The 27538-nt window shown below is 34.8% G+C and overlaps 1 long non-coding RNA gene across 5 annotated transcripts in view; it reads right to left on the reverse strand.

The window, feature by feature from the left end:
• Positions 1–2771: 2771 nt before the first annotated feature.
• Positions 2772–27538, reverse strand: part of MIR9-2HG (MIR9-2 host gene) — a 152776-nt gene continuing 128009 nt past the window's right edge. For 4 of the 5 annotated variants that reach the window (NR_152235.1, NR_015436.2, NR_152239.1 and 1 more), the window contains 2 exons: positions 6541–6576; positions 2772–5629 (listed from right to left, as the gene is read on the reverse strand). This is a non-coding gene — a long non-coding RNA (MIR9-2 host gene). The remainder of the gene's footprint in view (positions 5630–6540; positions 6577–27538) is intronic. The other variant, NR_152238.1, reaches the window with a different exon arrangement.

A 27538-nucleotide genomic window follows, 5' to 3' on the forward strand; every position in this document is an offset into this window, starting at 1 on the left:
GTCTCAAACTCCTGACTTCAAGTGATCCACCCACCTCAGCCTCCCAAAGTGCTGGGATTACAGGCGTGAGCCACTGAGCTCAGCCTATATTATGTACTTCATATATAAGATGTACAGCATGCCAATCTTTAATGAACTGTGGCTGGATTGAGAGAGTGCAGAGCAATAGGGGAAATTGGACCAAATTGTTGTAGAGAGACTTGACTGCAATTCAGAAAACCAGAATTTTACTCTAATTCTGTTGCGACTAGACTACCTGTATGACCTTAGATTAATTTTTGTTGCTTCCCAGGTTTATTTCCTCTACAGTAAATTAAGTATGTCAAATTTGATTTAATGAGGTGATCTCTACATGCCGCCAACTGCAATAGTCTGAGTTCTATTATCCTATCAAGTTGACTGAGAGAAGCTAGAAAAGATACGTGAACTAAGAAATAACTGGTAAAAGAGAAGGTGAGGGATTCAGTTACTGTGCTTTGGGTTGCAAGTAACAGAATTCCCAACAAGGTATGACTTGAGTAATAGGGGTTTATTATTTCAGATGACAAGAAGTCTAGAAGTGACAGTTTCCAAGGTGGTTAATTAACATCTCACAAATGTCACATCTCTGGGTCAGCTTTTTTAGGATTCTCTTGGCTTCTCTGTTATTGTTGCCACAACTCCAAGCCCCCATCCTCATGAAATAAGATTTAAAAACATGGAGGAACATGAGATTTTCCTCATGAGTTTGTCTCTTTTATTTTTTACAAAAGGAAAATCAATCCCAACAGATTTCTTTTTATGTTCATTTGGTGAATGAGTCACATGCCCGTCCCTAAACCAATCCCTGGCAAAGGAGAATGGAATTATGATGAAAGGGATAGATGAATTATGACTCATGGGCATACGTGTGCCTTATCTGAGCCTATTTTTTGCATGGTATCTGAAAAGAAACCAGAGTTCTGTTAGCAAGTACAAAGAGAAAAGAAAAATATGGAAAATCAAAGTAAAGACCCGAAAAGCTTGAGTTTATAAAAAAATCAGGATGGGAACCAATTAAGAGATTTTATACTTCTAAATGTAGGCACCATGTAATAAAAACATCCACCTCGGATATTACATATATATTTACCTGGCTTGGGATTAGGGTATGGATAGTGTATGTACGTAAAATAACTATCCTGGGCATCCGGGCAGAATTAGTCTTTGGTGGGAAAGAGGTTGGCCCTGATTGTATAAGGACAGTGGGTCTCAGTTTATATAGTTTGTATAAAGAGATTTTCCACTGTGAGGAAAAATAACTGTAAGTGCTTTACGGCATCCTAGAGATAATAGAGAGTGATGGAGTGGAGAGGATGGAGTTACTAGAGCAAAGAGGGGGGTAACATTGTAATCTCAAGCCAAAGTCTAAAGAGGCACCCTGATCTTCAGTCCCTCAGATGGTGCCAGTAGACAAGATGAGCACAGCATTCATTAATCCATCCTTCTGTATGTCCCCAGCAATTCATCAAATAACCTCAGGGTTGAAGAGGCAACTTATCTGAGAGTCCCAAAGGTCATTGCATTTTAAAATCCTGTTTTTAGCCAGTAAAAAGCAGAGTCGTTCATGAATGTGGGAATTTCACAGCCAGGCCCATCACCATAATCTAATAAAACTGTTGTCACTGAAGCACTCTTTAGACTGTGAAGGCTCATATCAAAGTCTTAATTACACTTCTTCATAGTAGTAACATTACATGAAAATGAGGGCATAAGAATACATCAGAAAAGATTTGATTTAATATGGTTAAATCAGATTTAACAGAACTCGGGCATATTCCAGCACATCAGGCACAAAGTCCCTAATCTTTCAGCCACTTTTAAGGAACTCCTAATCTTTCAGCCACTTTTAAGGAACATCTGCATCTTTGTAAAAAATCTGGTAAGATGAGCCAAAAGTTTTAAGAATGGACACAGCCACCTACAAGATAATAGAATTGTTAGGAGAAACCAATTCTCCTTGTTAGATTCTCATAGACTTATAAACGTCTAGGGCCTAAAAATACAGAGTAATTTCTAAGGGCTGGACTTTAGTGGTAACCAATTCCATCATCCTATTAAACAGAACAGTTGGTTATCACCATGAAAGAAGGACAGAATGGTAGAATTGGTTTTAAAGTTTTCTAAACATTCACTTCACAAATAAATGCACAACCATAAAAAGTATTTTATTTTAAAAAGAGTGCATCAGAAAATATATTTCATGTACCTCACTCATTTCATTTCTGAAAGAATGATCTAAGAAAGCGGATAAAATGCATGAATAAAGATTGGATAGGTCCAGATTTGGCTTAGAACAATGCCTTCATCAAGGGGCTATGCTCCTCTAAAAGAACTAGTAAGGCAGAGTTAATAATCTTACATGTTTATCCTGCCAGTAATTGAATATGAGCTATGATCTTATGGAAAGTGGGAAATTTTAAGGTCCTGCCATAGTTATTCTGAAACTAGCATATCAGGAGCCCATTTATCCCATATACTTTCAAGAGTAAGCAACACATGTGAATGTCCTTGGTTGCTCCATATAGGGAGTAGGGAGTTTTCTGACTACAGATGATATTACACATCTCTCAGTTAACTCGGTAATCCACATGCAAAGTCCAGCCCTTAGGGACACTGTCCGGGGGTTTGTAACAGTCTTTGAGAGTCTTTGGTCCTATAACCTAAAGACTGGATTACACTCACCTGTTTGAGATTTTTGAATGAAAAATACAATAGAGATACATGATGCCATTTTCACATGTTTTTTTTTTATGAGAAGATATAAACACAAGAGTAAAAATGATGAACAGAATTCCTCCTGTCAATTGGATATATTCTCCATTTAACCATTTGGAGACACCAAAGCATAAGAAAGGTCATTATTCTAAAATATGGCAGAGTATTTTTATCTGACCAGTAAAGTGTGTTGCTCTGGCTCAAAGTAAGAACTGTGACCCAGCTGAAGGAAAGAGTCACACTTAAAATCTGGTTTGTAATGTGTCTTTCATTTCAGCAAATGACCTCCTTTCTGTCACATATCAAAGAAGCTGTATAGGGTCAACTGACCTCTTCAAAGTGGGCGAGACAAAAGTCGGTGCTGCTACATCGGCAGCAGGGTTTCCAAGTTTGATTCTTTCCCCTAAACTGGGATGGTATAAAGCAGTCCCCAGCCACCTGGGTAGGAGACAGCCCACCCTTTGGGTTTGTGTAAGTCATTTGGGGCCATTTTAATGGCAAAACGTCATGAGTTTTTCAAATTGTTCAAATCAGGATACTTTTGAGGGTGAAAGGAAGTACTGTTAATAATTATGTAAGGACAATAGGCATAAATACAGCTAGTCCTGAGAAAACAGGGGTGTGTGGTCACCCTACTCATATAGAAAAATGAGGTCAGATTTGTAAGGAATGTAAACAAATATGCAAAGTATATCTACTAAAACTGTGCTCTATGGCCATCATATTGTCATAGAAACACAAATGAATTTGCGGATGGAAATCTTTTTCCAAGACAGCACTGGTTGATGTCGTTTGTGTCGTTATCACAGGAGGTGAAAACTATAGACGAGAGAGAGCACTTCCACAAATAGCACAGGAGCTTCTGCTAATAATTATAATGTACGATTACTATGGGGAAAAATGATACTTAAGAAGGACAGAGTGGGTTAGGAGGTGTGCATTTGCCGCCTTTCATTTTGGTCACTTGTTCTTTTTTTGATGGCTACCAGCACAGAGGAGGAAAAAGAATCTGTCTGAAGCAAGAGACTCCATCCTCACTCCAGCTGTGAGTCTCTGGTGGGAAGGAAAGCTACTCAAACTCTCCCAGTGAAACAGAACATGATTGTGGGGCTGCCACCAGAGCTATTTCAGTAAGCTCATATTTTTATAACCAAAACCACTTCCAACAAAAAAGAAGTCCAGGAGTTAATTTTTGTTTTAAGACTTTTAAGTGTAAAGCTAATACTAATTGAGAAATCTATTTAGCAAATATTTGCGGGGGAAACTACCACACCATTTTTTACTGTTGTTGTTGTTGTTGAAATGTTTCCCACTCCTCACCCCCTCAAAAAAAGGGGGTGTGGGTGTGGGGACAGAACAGAGGAAAGGAGAAAAGTGGCTTCAGCTCAGTGGAACACTAAAAAATGCACATGAATCAATTATGAAAAAGAGAAGGTCCCTTTGAATGACGAAAAGCTGATTGGAATTAAGATAGGCTTTGTTCCTATCTGGAAGGTACAAGGAGGGGACTTTTCAGCGGAACAGAAAAGGGGGATTTGGGACTGTTTGGCTGCTTAATGCCATAGTGCTTCAGAGCCCATGTGAAAATTTGCTGCTGGCTATTAATCATCATTGTGCCCCTGCAAAGAAGCTGTTACAATGATGACTATATGTCATTATATTCCCACTGTAAGTAACGAATCAGAGAGCTGGGAAAGTTGGATAAGAGCGGCTGGCAAACTTTTAAGCGGTCGAATCTATTTAAATAAATTTACATCACATTTGCTACTTTCTCTGGTATGGGAATCATACTTTAAAATGAAACAATATGCTGTGTTCATGGGGCCTGGTCTTTTATTCCCCTGTCTCTGAGCCTACTTTCCAGGTCAGCCTTTGCCGGCGCTGACAGCACGCTTTTCTCATAGCCTCTCCTTCTCATAGCCTTTGGTTGCTTTCAAGTTCAATTTAGCACAATAAAGTTGTTATGCATGACAGTTTGGAGAGCAGAATAGGTGGTGTCTGAGCCCGCTGTGTCGCTACAAAGTGGGCCCATTCTCTGTGGGCCGGCTCAGTTACTGGAGCCTTACTGGTGGGATACAGCCATGGACTTCCAGACGTTCCCATCCTGACGAAAACAATTAGCTTCAAACTGCACGAAGCCGCGGGGTCAGCCTCTCTTTGACTGAGACTGCGCCATTTAATATGCTGCAGTGGATTTCAAATTTATGTTGATTTATCCTGTTGTGTTCCTCTTTTATGCACTTTATTTACAGATGTGTAAAGAACAGGGAAAGTTAGAGTACCCCATGCTTCAAGAGTTTTATTCGAAATCTAAACCATTGTTTTATGTTTATTTTATCAAGAAATAGAGTTGAAACATGTCAGGCTTAATTCCATTAGGCTGAACTGCCCAGAACAGAGCCCTGGGGTTTGGAAGACAGAATCTGAAAGGAAGTGTCTCCTTAGCTAAGCATCATCAAGAAGCCAAACAACAAACAACCTCAAAACACCACTGTTGTCAGGGTAGTTTTCTATTGTGGGAGACTATCCCTCCAAAATCCCACTCTGACCTAAAAGTGACAGATCTTTTAATAAAACCAAACCGTAATTTTTCAACCATTACAAGCCACCATGTATATCTGTGTATGTGCATACGGCTGTATCAGATCAATTAGTGTTTAGTATTCATTGACGTCCACCCAAGTGCTTACTGTCTTTAGAAATATGATACAAAATTCTGCTGCCAGAAAACAAATATTATTCGATTTTGATGCTGCAGAATTGTCCTCATGCAGAGAATGTAACATCTTCTCTTGTCCTCTGAAGAGAATCCTGTAACAAAGCAAATTTAGGTGTACTTTCAATTTTACCATCAGAGTAGTCCACGCCAGATGTCTTCAGTCTCTTAGGTCTCCTGGTAAAATAAATCACAGTTGTCTTGATTACTGATCTCACTAATTATAGGGTACAATCGTCAAATAAGCCCCCTTCTAGATTATAAATTAACTGAAAGCATATCTTAAAAGCATATTTCACTTTCCTAAAAGAGTTTATTATCTTTCTGTTAGCTATTTGTATTAAATATCTTTTTAACCAACCCTGCCACATAATATTTGCTTTAACTGTGTAATAGTACAGAATAGTAAAAAAAATAAAAATTATAACATGGAGAGAATTTCCCTGCAATAATTTTATCTTATAAAATTTAATATACTTGCAAAATATTTTTATCCAAATTACATCATTAAAAGGAGAAATCTATATCTAGTTTCAGCAAAGTTTCAGAAGGGAAGTCATTTGTTTGCCTTGGTCATCTCTCTCCTTCTGTTATTATATGAATATTATTTGGTGACATTTTTAGTAAGGCATTTTTTAAAGTCCTCATTTTAAATGGTTCCTGAAAATACAGCTGGACAAAGAAAAATTGCATTATGAGAGACTGTAAATGTGTCTGTGACAAAAGCACTATATCCTTTCTACTTTTCAGAGGGGATAATTTCTTTGCCATTCAAATGAGTGAATACTCCAAAAATTGACCAAGCTATTTAACTGATAATATGCACTTAAACAGTCTTTTATTTTTCTTGAAGAAATATATCAGAAGCATACCAAAAATTTCTCCATGCAAAAGTCATGCAAACAGAGGATGGTGAGCTGTTAGTCTGGAGGGTACACCTGGAAGTTTATACACACATGGACACACACACACACACACACACACACACACACACAGCACATGTGCAGAAGGCCTGTATGGTACAGGCTATAAAACTTAGCATATATCTCTTCATCTGGAATCTCCAGTAGAAATACAGGGTAACTTACCATAAGAGTTTGTTTCCTCATCTCCAAAGCAATTTCCTAGAAAAAAAATTGTTAAATTAATGAAAAGATATAAAAGAGTTTTGGAAGAAAGCTTGACAGATTATATAACATATCATAAGGATTTTACAGAACATTTAGAGAGACCCTGAATTTTGGACTGACAGATTTATATTCATACTCCCTGAGGAAAAAAAATACAGAAGAAACAATTGTGAATTGGTAGATCACTGTTACTCATTAGTGGAGCTACTTTTATTAAACTGATGTGAAAATGTCTGATATGGGAGAAGTTTGATATGGAAGATGATAGATCTTCAATGTTCTCTAGGAGCAAAGGAAAGAGGAAGAGAAAGAAAGGCAAAATGGAAGCTCATTCCAGGGAGTGAATTTGAAGTGAGGCAATATAAAGGTGAAAGAGAGAGAAGGTACTATTCATCATAAATGGCATCAACAATGTTAGCTAAATTTTACCAAGGTCTTTTAAGTCCTTTGGCTGAAACAGGTATTCAGGACAGTATAGGCTTTAGGAGAATATGGTATTTGGTTTAACTTGCAGCATTACCATTTACTTGCTTTATGGCCTCAGGTAAAAATTTAAAGATCCAGAAGCTTCTCTTTGCCCATCAGTAGAATGGAGTAATAATAATTTCAAAATATATAGGGTTGTTGCAGAGGAAAAACAACATAGGTAAAGTGCCAGACACAATAACTGGAATGTATCCTTTAAATATTAATTTCCTTTACCTTCTCAATATTTTCATATACCTCTTGCAATTCTCATCCTCAAATTTCTCTGTTGGTCAAAATTGAGTCAAATCTCCTGACATAAAATCTCTTAGAAAAAGAGACATTCTTAGTAACAAACCTTACTATAATGGATTCCAGATGGTTTAGACCTGACAAAAACTATGACCACATAACTAGTTTTTATTTTGTTGTGGTTAGCCTTTGCTCATGCTAGCCTGATCACTGAAGAAAACTAATGAAGACCTGAAGAAAGGTTGCTCATATTGTGGCAACAGTATCTTCCCTTATGTAGACATGAGTCTAAAGAGACATTTTCATAACTACACAATAATCTCCACAAAAAGTCTCCCAGGGGCTTAGTTGGAAATCTGGTATGTCAAAAGTAAAGAGAACTTTGACATTATAAAAAAAAAGAATTCTGCTTAGCAGTTAGTCCTGATGCCCCAAAATAGTATGCTTTGGAGGAATAACGCTTACTTGGTCATGAAAAAATGAGTGAATTCACTGACATAACACTCATTTATTTATTAAAGACAAGTCCTCAGAGGTAGAGAATCATGTTTCCCAAGTAATAAGCTTATTCTTGTGAAACAGTCATGGAACCATGGATAAGTGTGATAGTGGGGGTTGACCTCTTCTTATTTGGTGATTGAACTTTGCTTCACCAATCTTACACTTGAAAGTATTTGGCAAAACTCAACTCAGGGCAAACATTCAGAATGTGTTCTACCTCTACTTATTATATAGCATATATTTTCCAGCTACTAGCAATGATCTTGACCAGGTGATTGGTCAAAATTATTTTTTCTAGTATACAGCCACTTAATTGAATTCTTACATTAATGATAACCTTATTTTAGACAGTGAAATGTATTTTACAGAATTACATAGCTAATGTAATTAAATATTGTATCAGCCTGCAGAAAAAGACTCAACTCTATGTTGGAAACGCTACATAGAATGGAAGCATGATGAACATTTTTTACCACATACAGTACACAGTCATATTGGTCCTTTTATCCAAAGTCTGTTACTTTTAATGTCAGTTGATTACATTTCTTAATGAAATGCTTTCAGCGTACTTAAAATATGCAAAATATGAAAAAGCCTTCTGACTTGACTTTTAAACCCATCTTTCTTTGCAACTACTGGTAGAAAACCAAGAAGAGATTAGCTGTATTCTATTTCTGCCTGTTTCCCCGTATTTAAACTATCATAGGACATACTTTCTTATATCTTATCATCAGTTAGGTGATTTTTTTCAAGACCTGTAAATACTGAATTAAACATATGCATGTTAAATCAGTCATTTGTGCAACACAGTATCTTTAAACTTTTTTTTGTTTTTATGGGCAAGCTGTTAATAAAGAGACATATGTGCTGTGTTTTATATATCCACATACTTTACTACCATTTTTTTAGATAAGCATCATAACTTAAGTTGTCTTCCACACAAAGTTCTGGCAAGCTTCAATAGATTCATTAGTGGGTTTTTCTTTACAACCAACGAAGCTCAAAGAGCTCCTAACAATGGAGCTAATCACTGCCTCTTCCCTGACCCAAGCTTAGGTTTTCCCTCCTTTCACTTCAGACTCTTATTTCATTTCTGAGCAATTGGATTTCCGTGGCACTCCCAGAACAAATAAATATCTCCTTTTTCCCCCCGCTTACATCTTTTGTGTATATTTTTTCTATACGACTGCCCGTATTTAAACTAGTATGGTAATGGCTGGGTTCTTCAGGTAATCTTTCATTGGACATAAATGGTGTAGCATTAAAATGCAGATAATGTTACCTCAATTAGAGAATGCTGTGCAAAACTTGAAAAAGACGTAGCTAAATGTTTGGACTAAACAAGTAAGTCTATGTTGTTAAGAGTGGGGCTGAGCAAGTTGCATTTTCAATAGATCCTTTAATGAATAAATGTTAGACTGTATCAACAGTCTTGAACAGGCTTGTGGTTTGTGTGTGCATGAAGTGTAATGGTATCAATTGACTGGCTCTTTGTGGTTGCTATAAAGTACTCTTGAATGTGTCAATGGAGAGAAGGCCTGCAGACAATGAAGCCATGACAGCTGAATGTCAGCAGTGACCTTGAACCTAAACTGGTTTCACCATTCCAGTGACTCCAGCTACAGTGAAGACATGCACTGGAGCCGGACCTTCGGCATTGCCTGTCATTTTCTGTGTTCAGATTCCAAGCACTTAAGTGACAATTTCACCACATTGCTAGACCCTGCTAATATGCATCAGTGAACGTTCACTTATTAGTGATGGGGCTAAAGATATGTTCAGCATTTTAATCAGACTTGCATTGGCATTTAAAAATACAAAACACAAAGCAAAACAAGGCATCATTCTAGACTTAATGTTTTATGTAAGCAAACTCATCCAAAGAAGATACCCAAAACATGTCTTTTCTGCAGCACTGAATTCTTTGATATCGATCTTGCATTGCATAACATTACTGCACATACATTACTACACTCTTTATTGCTGCAAATAGCACATGATTAGTTAATTAAAATATGGCATCAAGGAATAATTAATATTTGTAATGCAGTGTTTCTTTAATGAAAAACAAGAGAATTCTTCTAAAGGTCACATTTACAGATTAAATGTGTCTTTAACATAAATGGAATGTTATTAAGCTAGGCTCAATATTCAGGAGAGAACTGCAAAGCCTTTTGTGGCAAAACACTATTAATGAATTCAGGAAACTGAATCCCTTTGCTAATGCTGGAGTTGAGCAAGGTTAGAAGCCCAACCACAACTGAATGTTCTTAATATGTTCAATGTACTCTGCAGTGAAGAACTGAGGGCAGGGAAAGAAGGGAATTGGGTGGAGGGGGGAAATAAGAAAACAGAAAAGAAAAGGAAGATAGAGAAAAGCAGAGAGAGAAAGAGAGATATAGTAAAAAGAGAAAAGAATTTTGTTGATGAGAAACATCTAACTATGGTCATGCAGAAAAGAGCAGGAATACTGAATATTGGCATGCAGGTATTGTAGGAAGAATTGTTTTGGTGTTAAAATGTTATTAAAATTATAACACTGTAAGCTGATTACAATTCATTCTAAGAAAAATGTAACATTTTCTTAAAAATGAGCAATATAAAGAAAAATAATAATTTCACAATTATGAAATTTATAAATGCAAATTTGTTATTATAATGTCATTGTGGATTGATATGAGGTATGATATAGACGCTTCATTTAACTAACACATCTGTGAGTCCTAATCATTAATAAAAACTATTGTGTGATATATTATTTTTTGAAGTAAATAAAAGTTGGACACTACCATCCTCTTGTTTCTCAGTGGTTATCTCAAGTTCTTATATAATAAATAGTTAACTATCTGATTACATTTGTTCTTATAAGTCCTTTAAAACATACAGAGGAGAAAAAAATGTTTGAAGCGTATATCTGTGCTTTTTAATTGAAATAGCTGAATGCTGGCAAAGATTTTTCCATACATTTCTAAAAAGATAAGGTCACATATTTTAAAACATAGGAAAGTTTCTTAAATATAAACATGCTACTCAGAGAAATGCTTATTGTCCAGAAAATACTGGACATAAAATTTACTATTTATTTAGTATAATAATTACTCTAAGTGTATTTTATCAGACTATGCGGTACTATAGAAATAAAGATATATTACCATGATTCCACATTTTATTTAAAATAATTATTATGTGAAAATCATGTTAAAAAGATTATTAAACTACCAAAAAAAAACCTAGTGAACACTAAAACAGATATTCCAATAATGACCTAACATTATTAACTTTCTTAGGGAAAAAAATAGACAAAATTAAATTTAGCTTATAATGAGGTTCTTTGAGGCCTTAAAATCAAAGTGCAATGAGGAAAATAAATAGTGAAATAAAAATATTTTCTTGCATGAATTTTTATGTCTGTGTTTCATAGAAAACCCTTTGATTAATAGAGTCAAAGATAATTCTTTCTGATCTTTATAGATGCATTTGCAAATTTGAACATTCAATGTATACTTTTTACATAAGCATTATCACTTATAAGAGGGCTGATAGCATCAGTTGGCAGCTATAAAAATTATTTTCCTCATATGTTTATTTTTAGTTTAAGGTGACCCCATAATGTTATAATTTTTCTAATCCACAGGTTTTATACCAGAAAAAAAATTAGCATCACCCAGTTTTATTTTGAATCACTGAGATTTATGTGAATTATATTTACTAGAAAAATATCATTTAGAAACTTTTCATATTTATATTGGAACTTAAAATGTATATAGAGGCATAGTTTTTATGAATACCAGAGAATAAAAGACCTCTACAGATGCCACCATTCATTATGAAGTGGCATCTCTGCAAACTCCTGTTGGTATCATACTTTAAATGGCCTCTTCACTCTGCTATATGGAAGAACTTCCAAGGAGACAAGCTCCAAATCTTGAAAAAGTTGATGGTTGGAATGAACAACTATTTTTCTGTTACAGTTATTCTTAAGTAGGATGGTAATTCTCAATTAATCTCCTGTGCATATACGGGTTATGGAATTTAAGTTTAAATACAAAAGTAGTCAGAAATGAAATTCAGGTTAACAGGTCAACACAATGCCTACAGCTCAGCTACACATTTTTGTTGGCCTACTTCAGCAATCTTGATTAAATCTAACATAGGTGGTAATGTCTGGAAATACATTCTTCTTCACGAAATAGTTAAAGAGTATACTTAGTAAACACCTGGCTATGTCTTTTAAGAAAATATTCTGAATAAATGCTTTTGTTAATTAAGAAATGAGAGATCATTCTATGAATAAATGTCTGACTATGATAGAATTTGTGGTGGAAAAAGTTGTGCAAGAAGCATGTATTGATATGGGTTTGTTCTTGTACTTTAAGGTACATTCCATGAAGATCTATGCCAAGTAGTTCTTCTTCAACACTTATGAACCTGTATGTTCATATTGATCTATCGTTTCAGAGTATCCTTCACTCTTAAAATCCCTTAAACTTTTTATGTAAAAAAATAATAATAAAAGGGTGGGGGTGAACTCAGAATTACTTATTTTCAAATTTCAGTGACTTATATATTAAATTTATTTATGTATTCATTTATTTGTGTATTCATTCAGCAAATATGTATTTAGTTTATTACGTGCAAGGTTCTATGTTAAAAAGAAAAAATACGAATGGATTTCTGTGTTATCTTTCATTCTTTTTGTCTGTTTTTAAGCACCTAGTTTTTCCAAATCTTGTCTAAGTTGCAGCTATCAGGAAAGACTCAAACCAGTTTCACGTGATTTGGCTAAATGTGGAACCTTGATCACAGAACCAAGCAGAAGCCCAACAGAGGGCCTTGTCACTTTTCACAGATGATGAAGGGGCTCTGTGCGCCTGCCCCCATGCACCTCTCAGGGAAAACAACAGTTCTTAGAGAACCACTCAGCTCTTAATCTGTCCTGGACTCTATCTACACATTGAAATTTAGATACAGTCACTAATCTGGGGAATCTCTCATTTTTCAGACACAGTACTAGCAAATTTGTCATATGATATTTTATGTAATCTTTAGAGTCTCCGTGTAAGGAAGAAATATCTGAGATGCAATAAGATGAGGTGATTAACTCCATGTAAGGAGAAGCTGTAATTCTATTTCAGATCTCTTTATTCCATAGCCAGCCCTCTCAGGGATCCCACATGTGTAGTAGTATCGATACTGAGTAAAAATGTTAGTCAAACTAGAAATTGCCTGAAAAGATTTTTTTAACCTGTATGTAGACACCTACTGAAAAGAGAGTAAGCAAAGATACACAGATCCAGTACCTATAAGCGTGGGCTCAGACTGAAAGAATTCTGACACCCTCCACCTTCAGTCAATTTTCCCTCCAAGAAAACTATGCTTTTCATCACTGCCATAATAGTGAAGACCAGGAATGATTCTTGGTGGGATTGTGCCTCTAATTTTACCAAAGCTTGAGGTTATGATGCTGTAGCAGACACTGGGTTGCTACTTGGCCCAGCCATGGTTCCATTCCTATATATGTTCCCTTTCCCTCTATATACCAGTCCTACACTACTAGAGACCACGGGGTAGGTGAGAGAAATGAAACAAGTTCATTCTCCTTAGAGCCCTGATCAACAATGTCTTCTCTCTCAAAAAAATAAAGAACAACTCAAAAGCAATTTATCCTGTGCCCAAATAGTCAATATTATTAGATTTTCAATTTTTTTAGTCACATTTAAATTTTTCTGTCATTACCTAACAAAATTTTTCAACACTTAAAGAAAAGTTCATTCTTTGTATTGTAGCTAATGTTTTACATAATATCAAATAATTTTAAAGGAAAATTTAATTAAATTCAGGGTGAATACTTCCTAATCTAAATAAAAGTATATTTTTATTTTTATTCACTGAAGTTATAAATATGAACAAATTAACATTAAACTTTATAAAACATAAATGTTTTTTAAAATAATATTCTATAACCCAAAATAGGTACCGTCAATTAAATGCATGTGATATTAATATTCATAGCTCTATCTGCTCTCACCTAAACTGCACATTCAATCCAGCAATATATTTTCAAACAGAAAATTTACTTGCATTCATTTTGTCAGAAGAATATATGTCATATTTACATGTGTTCCAATACAATTAATGTTTTCATCAAATTTTGCTTTGGGAATTTTTCTTCTCATATGAACTTATTTTACTCTCCTCAATCATACTGTTGTTTTAAAATGATCCAGATAAACATGTATATTTTTACAGTGTTATACTCAAGATACAAGTTATTCCAGAGGTAAAGATTCTCTTGTAAATATTCTAGCTTCATGTTTTGTCCTGCTAGTACATAATTGACATTCACTAACATTGGTTGGACAGTTTTAGAAACGAATGTTATAGTGTAGTCACATTAATGCTGAAGTAATTACTAATAAAATCCTAAAAAGGAGTTCTGTTGTTCAGAACGAAAAATGCAGTTTCATTTTACTTGTTATCACAAAGTTATATTAATACTATTGTATAGCTAAGCACATTTGGAGACACCATGCAAATCTACCTGTCATGTTTAATTATAAACTACTGAGGACACTGCCAGTAAAATTAACAAATAAATATAGCAATATTCAGTATTTAACTGCTCTTGTTCTAAAAGCATGGAAATTGTCACTTATAAATACCAAGTGTCATTTAAATAATTAATCAATGAATTCATTGTAACAAATTATCTGAGAAGTGTTTGTGATGAGGTCAGCTCCCTACGACATGACCCCATATTTTAAGATGTAGTCATGTACTCAAAATGGTGACATCCATGATTTCAGAGTACTGAGAAGAATGTAGACTAGGAAATATGAAATACTTCTAAGTATTTCAGGGCCACTGTTGTTTGGATATGTATATGCCATGGACCAAATAATGTCACACAAACATTGTAACCACAAAGAGCAAAAAAGTCAGTGGAACTCTAGAATATAACACTGATTTGGTGGTATCTTCAGATACCAACAGAATAAAAGGGATTCACTTCTATCATACTGAAAACACTGGTTTTCTTTAGGCTATATAAAGAAAAAAAAAAGAAGAAGGACTCATTCATATTAGGCCAATGTAAATTCAAGTAATATCCCTTAAAAATTAAGGGATAATACAGAAGTTATATCTGAGATGTGGAGTCTTGCCTTGTATGAAATGATAAGCTTTACTTATACAGTACAAAACCTAGTTTATAATGTTTTTCTTCATCATCATAATGTGACTATAGGTGTAAATTTACCTTGGGTTAATGCAGTTTATATAAAACGACTTGGCTTTCAGCTATTTCTGTAGTATAGTTTATTTTCAGTGCCTTTCTCATTAAAAAAGTATTACATTTAGTAATTAGGCCACATTATGCTTGGGTATATATCTTTTCATATGTCTACAGGAAGAAATTTCTGGAAAGTTTCTATCTGAAATAAAACCTAGCTGTCCATATTCCTATGTATTCCAGCATAGGCAAGGATCTCCTCACTGAGCTTACCTCTAAACTGAGTGAGAATTTGTAAAAATCATATATTTCAATCCCAGTACAGGTGTTGTACATTCCTCTCTTCATAGCCTACCATAATTAGCCTGTCTTCTTTCAACATAGAGCTAAAGTTTAAGAGCCACAGATACATTATGAACCTTTCTTGGGTAGGCCTTACACACACAAAGTATAGAATAGAAAGTACATTATCCCATTAAAGTGTTCTTGTTTCCTTTGGAATAATATCATTTAGAATGCACCTTAGCATATTAAGTGGTTGACAGATAGCATAAACAAAAATAGGTTTTACATTGCAGCTGTACACAATACACCTTTGTACAGTTGACTGATTGCTTACAACAATAAAAAATAATGGTAGCATTCTGCTGTCAAACTTTCTGGGTAGTTTATAGCGAACTTCAAAAATATGGTTCCTTTTCTGCAAATGCAATTAATTTGAAGATAAAAGTAATGTGGTGCCATGAAACATAAATGTTTCACCCCAAAGAAGAGATTGTTATCCCATAACAATAGATAAAGTTTCACATCCCAATTTTTCGAAAGAAAGCAATAGTACCACTTAAGTATGCAAGGAAATGCTTTATGTGGCGACGAGTACAATATTATTAATATAAAAAAGAGAAAAGTATTTATTTACCAATTTTGACTGTTGTCATGGACATCACTGTTTCAAATGGCATTTTTGACAAAACAATTTGCTGGCTAATAGTTGCAGGAGAACTGAAAGATTTTTTTTTTCCCTGTGTATTTACAATATAAAAAATGCATCCTCAATGTAACTTTTCTGCTTAAGAGGAAAAAGAATGAGTTCTGTAAAACAACCCTTCCAGTGCAGTTTCTATAAGAACAAATGAATGCAAGTGTTCACGAGGCCTAATCTTCCCTTTTGTATTTGTTTCTTCATTAAGCTCTAACTATGCTCTAGCTCTTGTACCCTGAAGATTTGATGTGAAGATGGTATGACAGGCTTGGCTTCTCCCGATGCAGCTGGCACTCCTGATGCCAAAAGCCAGAGCTTGTGGTAGTGGGATCAGGAGAGAGTCGTTCCCAGCACAGTTTGCCTGTCAGTTTCCCATGCGCCTCGCAGTGCAGCGCTCCCTCCCCAAGTCCCCTTAATGAGAAGTGGAGGACAATACCAGTATTGTTGTTTCTACTCACAATCTTGTGGAAAGAACAATCGCTGTTTACCCAAGCATTTGTATTACCCAAACTCTGCCGATAATTACTTCTAGAGTCCCTGATTAACTCTGCTCTCTGCCTCAGCACAAAAAAGCTATTGAGATAGACACCAGACAACTTTTCTATCTCTTAGAGCCTTTTAACAGTTTACTGAATATGACTCAGTCCTCATACTTATTAGAAGAAATGTACCTACGTGATTTGCACTCAGCTCATCGGAGCTTGCTAACCATATAAGTCGCACAGGTGTACTTTGGAAGGCTTAAAAATTCCCCATCACCCTCCCTTCTCCCCTGTCTCTCAAAAAAGTTAAAAAGCTCTGTCTCCTTTCAGTTGCTGTGTCCCTGTACCTAGGAGTCTATGATAAATGCAAGCACATTTCAAGTAACAATGATATTTCTAGTCAGTTTTTTGCTGTTAACTTTTTATAGTAAAATATGTAGGAGAAAAATTTCTAGTTATTTAATTACTATGAGATTTTATGATATGCTTTTGTTTTCTAAGACCTAACAAAATGGAACTGTTGCTATGTCTATTTCAATGATATTGGTAATAATTTTAATCTGTCACATCACTTCCACCCCCCTTCACGTCCCACCTCACATGCAGTCTGCTGTTAGCACTATGCAAAACACCATCATGAATATGCGTAATTATGGAGATTCATGGTAATTTTTCAGGGTTATCCGATGTGACGTTTATAGGACAGCAGCATACATCAATTTAAATGAGTGTGACAAATATCTTATCCTTTATATTTCTATAGTATTTTTAATATTTTCTTGGCCCCTCTCCAGGGAGTAGTGTGAAATGGTAAGAACTTGAATAATAAAAATGTTAAACAATCAAATGCTTCACTACAATGTTTTTTAAAGGCAAGTTTAAAAATGATTCTCTACCTGTTGAAGCTTAAAAAGTATCATATACTGAATTTTTTCTTAGGCAGTACTTTTTATTGAGCATCTTACACATTTCCAAACCAACAAAAGCATGGACATTTGCAGGTGCCATTTTACGATGAGGCTGAATTGCTTAATTACTTTTAAACTATGACCGCTTGCCTGACAAAATTATTTGGCAAACATGGTCCACCAACTTTATTAAGCATAAGCATTTGAAACAATAATCTAATTGTGGTATTTTTGAATTTTGTTCTTAGTCTGTAGCACCTCTTAGAGACTTGCATATAATCTTTATCTCAGTGACTAATTAGGACTAGCTTGACAATTTCATATTTACAATGATTACCAAGTAGGAATCCTCTTCCTTGTTCAGTATGTTTGTCATGAATACTGTACAATCCTAATTACATTGAAGATATAAAGAGCCCCATAATTTGATTGAGAGACATCTTGAGTTTAAAGTGAGTAAATGTGAATTGTATCGAGAATTTTAAATGGCAGAGCAATTAATACCTATTTCTCATGCAGTCACTAAAAAGACGAAATAACTGTGTGCATGCAAGTCATTGTATCAGCCATATTTTTAAGGGTGTTAACAATAAAGTCATTAAAAACTGGCTTGATTGAAAATGATCTTCCTCATTCCAACCAACTGAATTCAGAATTCCTTTTTCTCTAGCATATACTTTCAGGATTTCGGGCTGAGGGTCAAACCTTCGCAATTAAATGTTCCTCAGTACTATATTGGCAACACACCATCGTGAATACTCTTCATACAATTAGCAGGGCCTACTGTGGAAGTATACTGCTGATAGAAATAATAATGAGGAATACTGGGGCATTAGTATGCCAGAGTAGGTTGGAGAAACCTAGTTTGCATGATGCATGTATAATTGTATGTTACATCTAAATATCACTGTATGTTGCTTTAGAAATAATTGCTTAGAAAAATATATTTAACACTTCCTCTCTTTTAAGGTCCCAATTTGATTAATAAACAAGTTCAGTGGTATATTAAGCCTATAAGTTAGCGATGTCTCAATGAATGTGTTCTGCATTTGCATGTTTCTTAAAGTGACACTTTCTGAAGACACACGATTGCCATGTCTATATACATGTATAAAGAGAAGTGAAGAATTGATGCAATCATCCAGATAATTCAAGGGAAAAACACTTTTGCCTCAATTATCTATTGCAAGCAAAAGTGAGGGGTTTATCCTGAATTGTTCAAATAATTGCCTTGATTCTCTTCACTTTGCATGTGTAGACACATTTTACAATAATATTTATGTTAACATTTGCAATTTACATACATATAAGGCAGAAATACTTCTATACACAAGATGACCAAAATCTTTTCACAATAATTTCTACTGTTTGGTTGTCCCTAATTTTTGGTACAGTCAGATCATTTGTGTGCATGTTCTTATATGGTAATTGAATCAAGGCAAAACTAGACAGACTCATTATGTTCATTTATTAAATGCTTGGTTAATAAACTGATTGGTATATACAATACTGATATCTCACCATTAAAAAATTCATTGATATATTCTATCTAAAACTTCAATAATATATACTTCTTACTGGGTATATCATAAATTCATTTGAGGAAGTAAATGTGATTCATATGTATATTTATAATAAAATGCAACATTAAAACAAAGACAAATTTCCAAGAAATATATCTTATATTTTACATATTTAAGATTTGTTATGAATAAGTTAATATTCATAAAGAAATCAATACCAGAACACATTTTCAAAAGTTCCATTGACACATTAAAAATTCAAATACATAGCAGATTTTATAGTGTTTCCTCCATCTGCACTGACAGGAACAATAATATGTTTAATTACTGACATTTGTATTATTTTTACCTTACGTTTATTAAATATATAAAGTATATTTTCCATGACTTTTAAAATCTATACTGTTTATTAATACATGAGGAATCCTAAATTTCTTCTGGGCCTGCTTAATCACTATTTGAAGTCTTTATTCTGGTCCACATCAAAAATGCATTTTAGAAAATGTAAAGCAGCTCTATCATGCTTCTTCATATTGGTAGCATGTCAAAATATGTTTTGTTTGAACTTTAGAAATTAAATCTTGGTTTAGTTAAAATATTGCCAAAGTATTGGATTATAAGTGTTTGTCTGGACAAACAATTAATACCTAAATGTTGAAAGACACCAGAATACTTTATGGACCTATTTGGCAATGGAAATGAACTATCTATGTTATAAATTTAGTAGATAGGGCTCATATGTAGCATTCATTTATAATTTTCATGTTTTATATAAAAGTACGTAATGGATGCTTACAGTACAACCAAAATCTTCTCTGTGCTCATAAAAACACATAAAGCAGATGCAAAATTAAGCATTTTGGAGTATTTTACCGCTCCAATATTGTTTTAATTTGTTCTAAAAATCAAGTGTCTGTCTCTGAATTTTATTTATGAAAAATCAACTTCCAGAATTAAATGAATACATTTTATAAACACTGCAAGCATGGGGGCTTGATAGATATTTTTCTTCAAAATTGTTAAAGAGCAAAATATAATAATTTGGTGGCAAACATCTGTCTGGCAATCATATATGATAAATTCATAAGAAATACAGGAAAGATATTTATTTACTGTTACTGCTAAGCCAGACTTTATTTATCTTAGAAGATTTTTCATCTATGAGTGGAAAACAAACTTTCCTTCAAGAGGTCTGTGAACCGAATAATAAATGTCAGGTCTAAATCCTGTATGAAAATCAGTCCGGTTTAATCCTGGATATTCTTCAGCATGCAAATGAAGACTAGAGGTTTCCCTGGGCCCGCTGTCATACAGGCAGCCAATTTACAGACCCTGGCACTGTGTATGTGTTATGGGCTCGCTGGCTGCCCCTCCCCCGCAGCCTAAGACTTGGTCTCAGCTGCCTGCCTTTCACAGAAAACCACAAACCAAGGAAACATATCAGTAATAGCGCCCTGTAAATTAACTTGACATTTGATGCAGAAAAAAACCTAAAAGCTTACAAAAGACATTGAAAACAAAAGCCACTCAGGACCCACACTACATATATTGTGGATTTAAGAGATCTGGAAGGTGGTTATTCTATTGTAACTAACACATACAGCCTTCATCTTCTTTGTTAAGACAATTCAGTCATTCTTTGTTACAGGCATAGTATCCGTCAAACAAGAAAACAATATTTTCCACCAAAAAAAACCCCTAAAAGTCCAACTGATATTATAATAATAATTCAATCAATAGGTTTTTTTACATTTTAAAAATAGCCATACATTACTAATGTTTAAAGAAAAGAAGCTAAAATATGATTTTATGTTTCCTTGGTAAATAAGACATGTTGACATTGCTAAGATGTAAATAATGTAAGATGCATTGGAGAATGGTGTGAATCTTGCTGAACATGAGGTATTCACAAATATTGTTTTGTCTTAAAATTTTGCCTTTCAAGGCATTTAATTTTTTTCATGCTAGGAAACCCCTGAATCTCTTTTAAAAGAAAAAAAATTTTTTTGGTTCAAAGAAGGACTGTTGATAAAATATTAAATGGTTCTTTGACATCATCTGTGGTGTGGGGCTGGAGTGAGGCACTCAGCATATTTAAGCCATTAGACATGCAGGAATGTTAACATTATTATGCGTTATTGTGTCTGGCTATGTGTCCCCCTCCTTATTCTCAATCTCTCTCTCTCTGCCTCTCACTCATTTTCCCTCCCTTCTTCCCTCCGCCCCACCTTTCTCAGAGTCTCTCCTACCTCTCCCGCCCTCAGCAGGGCCTGCTACACGGCATCTTACAAATGTCTGGTCTTATAGTTTACAAGCACAGAACTGTACTGGTAAAAATGCATAATCTCAGCATCTGTGCTTCTTGATATTCATGGATTTATTTACAAGTCCCTGTGTTCTACTTTTTTTTTGCCTGTTTCTATGGTTTATATTACTGTCATGCCTATATTCTTGTGGGAGTTTCAAATAAGAATCAAGATATAACTGGCAAATATTCTGTAATGCAGACTGCATTTCCATAATTTAGCTGTTTTTTAAAAGAGACAATTTAAAGAGGTTTATGGACTTAAGGATATATGAAGAGTATTTTGATTGGCTTTTTTAGTACTTCAACTGCTTAAGGTTCCGTTTGTGCAAAATGGATGTAATAAAATAAATTTATGAACATATATGTGCTTGTGTATATGTAAATGCATTTAGAATGAAAAAGTTCATAAATCTAAGTCAAATTTGCTGATTAAGTTCACTATATTCACATTTGGCAACATTAGGATATTTCACGAAAGGGTTCAAAGGTAAAAGGCAAATATTTTATTTCTTCTTTAGATGCTAGCCTGCAAAAAACTTAAATATTTACAAAGCAAGTATTCAAGTTCCTGTGTTCCCCCAGCCCTCAACATACATACCCCTCCCATTCTTGGTGCTAGTTTAACAGCAGCCTTTTAGTAGCCATTGCCAGTGCCAAATAAGTCTCTTTTTCCTTTTTTTCAAGCTGTAAAAACAGTCTTTTGAATAATTTAATTAACAGCAAAATCAGAAATTTAACTTACTTTACAATAATTCTCTAACCATTTCCCATCTACCCACTCCCCTTCCCCGCATAGAATTCTACCTTCATATTATCAATGCACTTATTTTTAGGGATTAATATTCACTAGTTTAATGTAACATTGAAATCAGAGAAGTCTATGTACATTTGCTGTTTATAGCTCCAGTTTAATTACTATGTGTTAAGTCGGCTAGACACTGAAATGAATTTTATGAATATCTTTCAAGACAGCAATATTTTGGACCTGCATATGAGAGAAAATACGATGGCAGGGGACAATACATTAAATGATCTTTATGCCAGTATTCTTGAAAATTCACGTTCTATGTAGGAAAATGTTAAATATGAGAACATTACGATAAAGGCTTGTTATAGTCCTAAAGTGTGGGATATATAAAATACCCAGATTTGCACATGTATAGTTGCAACACATGCTAAGCAGTACAGATTATTAAGCAAGATTCATTCCTTTATTGGAGAGGGAGGGGAGTAATTTACAGACAAGAGCTAAGCAATTCTGTTTAACACAACTCTGTCTAGTTGATCGTAAGGCATGTGTGGTATTTTTCCAAAGCCCGTCATCAATAGTAAAGCAATTTACAGCTCCAGAAATTTTTTAGAAGATACTCATTTTATTAAGAGTAAGTAAGATAGGTTGTGTGGAAAGATACACATGTATTTGCAATTCATATCGTTGCTGTGTTTCTATTGTGTTCTGAGCTTCCATCATGGCTGGGAGATGGGAAGCTGGCATGCAGTGCAGGAGGGTAAGACAGAAAGCCCCAAATAAATACTTAGAGCATTTTCTAATTATCTCTTATTATGACCACCTTTCTTTCCCCCGACCCACCCCGGGTGGAGGGGGGCAGTGGGGAGTGATGGAAAGAAGATGATTGTAAGTGCAGATCATATCCGTGCCATTAAATAATATTAATAATTCTTTTGGTCCACAGGATGATGTTTTCATTCTGGACTTTGAAGCTCCTCAGTCTACCCATTCAAAGCGATGACAGAAAAATGAATCTGAATGTGTAGGCATTAAACATTTAAATTCTCTACTCCCTGGTCATTATATTGACTGTCATATTTTACACCTTCCCCTCCCCCACTATGCTTTTGCTGATTTGACCTCATTTACATTGGCTCATTATGCATCCGGTCTTTGTTCTACTGAACAGAATACAGTACAGTGACAAAGCAAAACTTACGTGTCGGCTGGAATATTTTTCTGTTTTAAAAATTAAGTTTCACTACTTAAATTTATATTTGACTTCCCAATATTGTTTAAATTGGAGGCAAGTCTTTTCTTATACAATAACTATAATCTACATGCAATTATTTTAAGAGTGGTTAAAATTACCTCAAAATGTCATTAGGAAATGACATTTAAGACCTTTTATAACAAATATTCTACTGCTACCTAGGCAGTATTATCATATTAGAAGTATTAGGCTTTTCTTTCCAAACCTCTGTCTGAATTTCTATGTAGGCCCAAGGAGCAAGCTTTTATCTATTTTATATGAAGTTCATTGTTTAGAGCTGTCCCTTATGGGTCTTGTTTTAATGTATCAAACAACAAAGGTAATGTCAATCCTTAAAAAAAAAAAAAAAAAAAAATTCCTGCTTTGCATTTCTTGCAATTAAAAAGGTTATCTGATTTACAAACCAAATTTTCATTAAATTAAAAGGAAGTCCTAGCTGATCGATCACATAGAAAAATATGAAAGTTACATTGAGCTTTAAATGTCTATCCCCATGACAGTGCACACTATCTTTTCATTTGTTACAACCAATGGAGACATGGGATTAATCTAATACAGCCTAATTAAACACCCATTCACACATGAAGGTTTTTAATGGTACCAGTGGCTAGTGGCACAAATGCTACTTTGTATCACAGTTAATATTTGCATTTATTTGACATTGGACAATAGATATTTTTGAATACAAAGAAAATGGGAAAAATAAAATATTGTGGAGGATGCTTTTGAAAATACAAGCAATTTCTTGTTTCCACCAAGATAATTGCCACATATACAATGTAGGTTTCATTTCAGATATTTAGACCAAGATGCTTTTCTAATTTTTGTCATTTATCAAAATGTATAATCATGGTGACAGTGGCTACATGTCTAGGGCACCATCTTGGAAGAAAAAAGCATCATGTCTTCTTGGTTCCGTTAGTGACTCATTGTGTGAATTTTGGCTGGCGTCTCCTTTAACCTGCTTGTGCCTTGATTTTTTAACCTATAAAAAGGGAATATTCGCCCATTACTTACCCCTGTTGGGTTACTGTGAAGTTTAATTAGAATAAAATATTGCTCCTAGAATAAAAGTATCTTAAGGATGAAAGTTTTCGTTTTTTTTTCATTAACTTTTTACTACATGGTAGGGAATGCAGTGTTGTAGATTTGCCTGTACTCAGCCAATCTCTTTTTCTTAAGTTTGGAACTTTTGATTCTAGAGTTAATAAAAATAAAATCCAAATGCGTAATTAGATTTTTTAGAGATGGGAGCAGTCACCCACATCTTGGCAATTTACATTATATAATCTTATATCAGCTGCAAGATGCTTTTATGAGTATAACTGGTTTTAGAAAATGGCTTCTGCAGGAGAAATAGTCAACACAGTAGCATTCAAAATGACTTCAAGCTTGCAGGAGAGCTAGAAATTAGGCAAAGAACTCCTACCCCAATGGAACCACAAGGGAAATAAAGTAAATTAAAGTTTTATATCTGTAGTTACTTTGTAACTATCTTAAATTTTCCGTAGAGTCCTAGAAATTTTAGATATTAAGCAATATGTATCTCCAACGCAGAAATCTGTAAGATGGCATCATTTGAGCATTTATCTAGACTTACCTAAAAGACATCCCAAACTCAACACCATTTCCAAAATACAAACTGGACACAATTAACCCTATTTTCATACCTAGCGTTAGAATGGTGTTATTTAATGTCTTCACACTTCAACTGAATCATCTGTTATATAATGGAGTTGATGTAGATTATCAACGAGACCCTTCCAAGATCCAAAATGAACCTAGTCAGTATTTGGACATCACATCCTGAGAATTTTAGGCACCTGCCCAAATTTAAATATTGTATTAATTGTTCCATTTTTGTCCCTTTATATGATGAATGTTCACTAAATATTCAGTATATATCAGGCATTTGTTAAATTCTTGAAACCTAAAAAAGGAGCAAGTTGGAGGCACAGATAAAGACAACCTCGCTAAACTCTGACTGGGATCAAAGTCTATAAGGCATCTAATGACTTGACACACAGATGTGCTTTAAAAATATTAATGAGCATGATAGACTGTATTAATGTTGACTAATATCCTGTGTCTCTCACTACAGAAGGGTTATACCTCCTGCCTTCATGAAGTCAGGCTAGATACGTGAATTGCTTTGGCTAACGAAATACGTAATAGTTGTCTTGCAAGAGAAAGCTTCAAGAATCAGTCCAGGCTGGGCACGGTGGCTCACACCTCTAATCCCAGCATATTGGGAGGCCGAGGCGGGTGGTTCACGAGGTCAGGAGTTTGAGACCAGCCTGGCCAAGATGGCGAAACCCCATCTCTACTAAAAATACAAAAATTAGCCGGTCGTGGTGACATGAGCCTGTAGTCCCAGCTATTCTGGAGGCTGAGGCAGAAGAATCACTTGAACCCAGGAGGTGGAGGTTGCAGTGAGCCAAGATCATGTCACTGCACTGCAGCCTGGGCAACAGAGAGAGACTCCATCTCAAAAAAAAAAAAAAAGAATCAGTCCATATTCTTCCATTCTTTCTTTTATTTTTGCCACAGTCACCATCAATGTTCTAGAGAGTTTCTGCTCCACCAAATTATGTCCCAGAGTGAGGGCTGTAATGACATGGAACAAAATATCCAACAGATACATAATGGATACTGAATGAAAAAGAGGAAGGAGAAAAAAAAAAAAAACTTTACTGCTAAAGTCACCAGGATTTGAAAATTAAATATTATCATATTATAACTTAGCCCAGTGATTTTCAGAATGTGTTTTGGAGAACCCTGGGGTTACTGAAGCTTTTTCAAGAGGTCTATGAGGTCAAAATTATTTTTGTAATAATATGAAGATGTTATTTCCCCTTTTGCTCTCGTTCTCTCACAAATGCAGTGTAGAGTTTTCCAAAGGCTACATGGTGTGTGATATTGCAACAGATTGAATGCAGAAGTTGATATAAGAATCCAGCGGTAATTTTCACTGAATGTTTTTGTCCTCCCAAATCCGTATGCTGAAGCCCTAATCCCCAGTGTGATGGTATTTGGAAATGGGGCTTTTAGGAGGTAATTAGGTTTAGATGAGATCATAATGGTGGAGCCCCTGTGATGGGGTTAGTGCCCATATAAGAAAATGAAGAGACCAGAATCCACTCTCTCTCCTCCAAGTGAAGACATAGCCAGAAAGCAGTCATCTGTAAACCAGGGAGAGGGCCCTCACCAAGAAACCAACCATGGTGGCAGCCTGATTTTGGACTTCCAGCTTCCAGAACTGTGATAAATAAATGTTGTTTAAGTCACCCAGTCATAGCAGTTTGGAAGAGCAGCCTGAACTAACTAAGACAAGCAGGTTAAGGATTGGCAAAACTGTATAATGGTGCCATTTTCCTCACTAAATTTTTATTTTTTTTTGTAAAATTTCGTATTTTATATAAAAAAGTTATGTTAACATATAATTGATTTATTATAGTCATTTTCAATTAATGGATATTTTTAAATGTTCTTAATTTTAATTTCAAATACAAGAAAAAAATCAATGCATGTAACCAATATCAACAAAAACTCTTTAGGAGTCCTCCATAATTTTTAAAGTAAAGAAACCAAAAACCAAAAGTTTGGGAATTGACCTATCCTATTCTGACTGACGCAGTGAGTTTCACAAGGAGTAGCTTACTGGAGCTAATTAAGCTCTGTCATTTGTGGAGCTCTCTGGATAGAAAACTATAACTTTAAAAGTAGAGTTAGAACCAATCATACGATTTAGTTACTTAACAGAATGAGATGGGACTTTTCATGTTATGTAACAAAAGACTGGTTGTTGCCTAATACAACTGCTATAATAATTAGTCTAGACCCAGTCAACTGTCTCTTTGGTAGAGTTTGACTGAGTGTATTTTCCTCTTTATTCTGTAAAAGAGAGTAAATGCAATTTCTTGAAGTAAGTGTGAACATACATAAGCGAAACTGTAAGTCACCCTACACATGTACAATGTGTCTAATTTAGAGGGAAAAGGTAACAAGAGGGAATAGAAGAGGGCTTGTAAGATGAGAAAGTTTCAAATCACACTTTTGATATACAGACACATCCTGAGTGCAACACACCATCCCAAAGCAGAAAATCTGAATTTAAAATGTTTGGGCCCATTATCTCTCTTCCAGGCCAGCAATTTCTATATCAATTTACTCTTACTGGCATCGTGGTTCATAAATGGGTTTTCCATCGTTTCAATTCTTGATGTGCATTCCTTCAACTGGATCATAAGCTCCTTAAGAGTAACAATGATACCTTCTATTGAATTTGCCTCTGTCCATCC

This window comes from Homo sapiens, chromosome 5 (assembly GCF_000001405.40).
Source record: "Homo sapiens chromosome 5, GRCh38.p14 Primary Assembly".
NCBI lineage: Eukaryota > Metazoa > Chordata > Mammalia > Primates > Hominidae > Homo > Homo sapiens.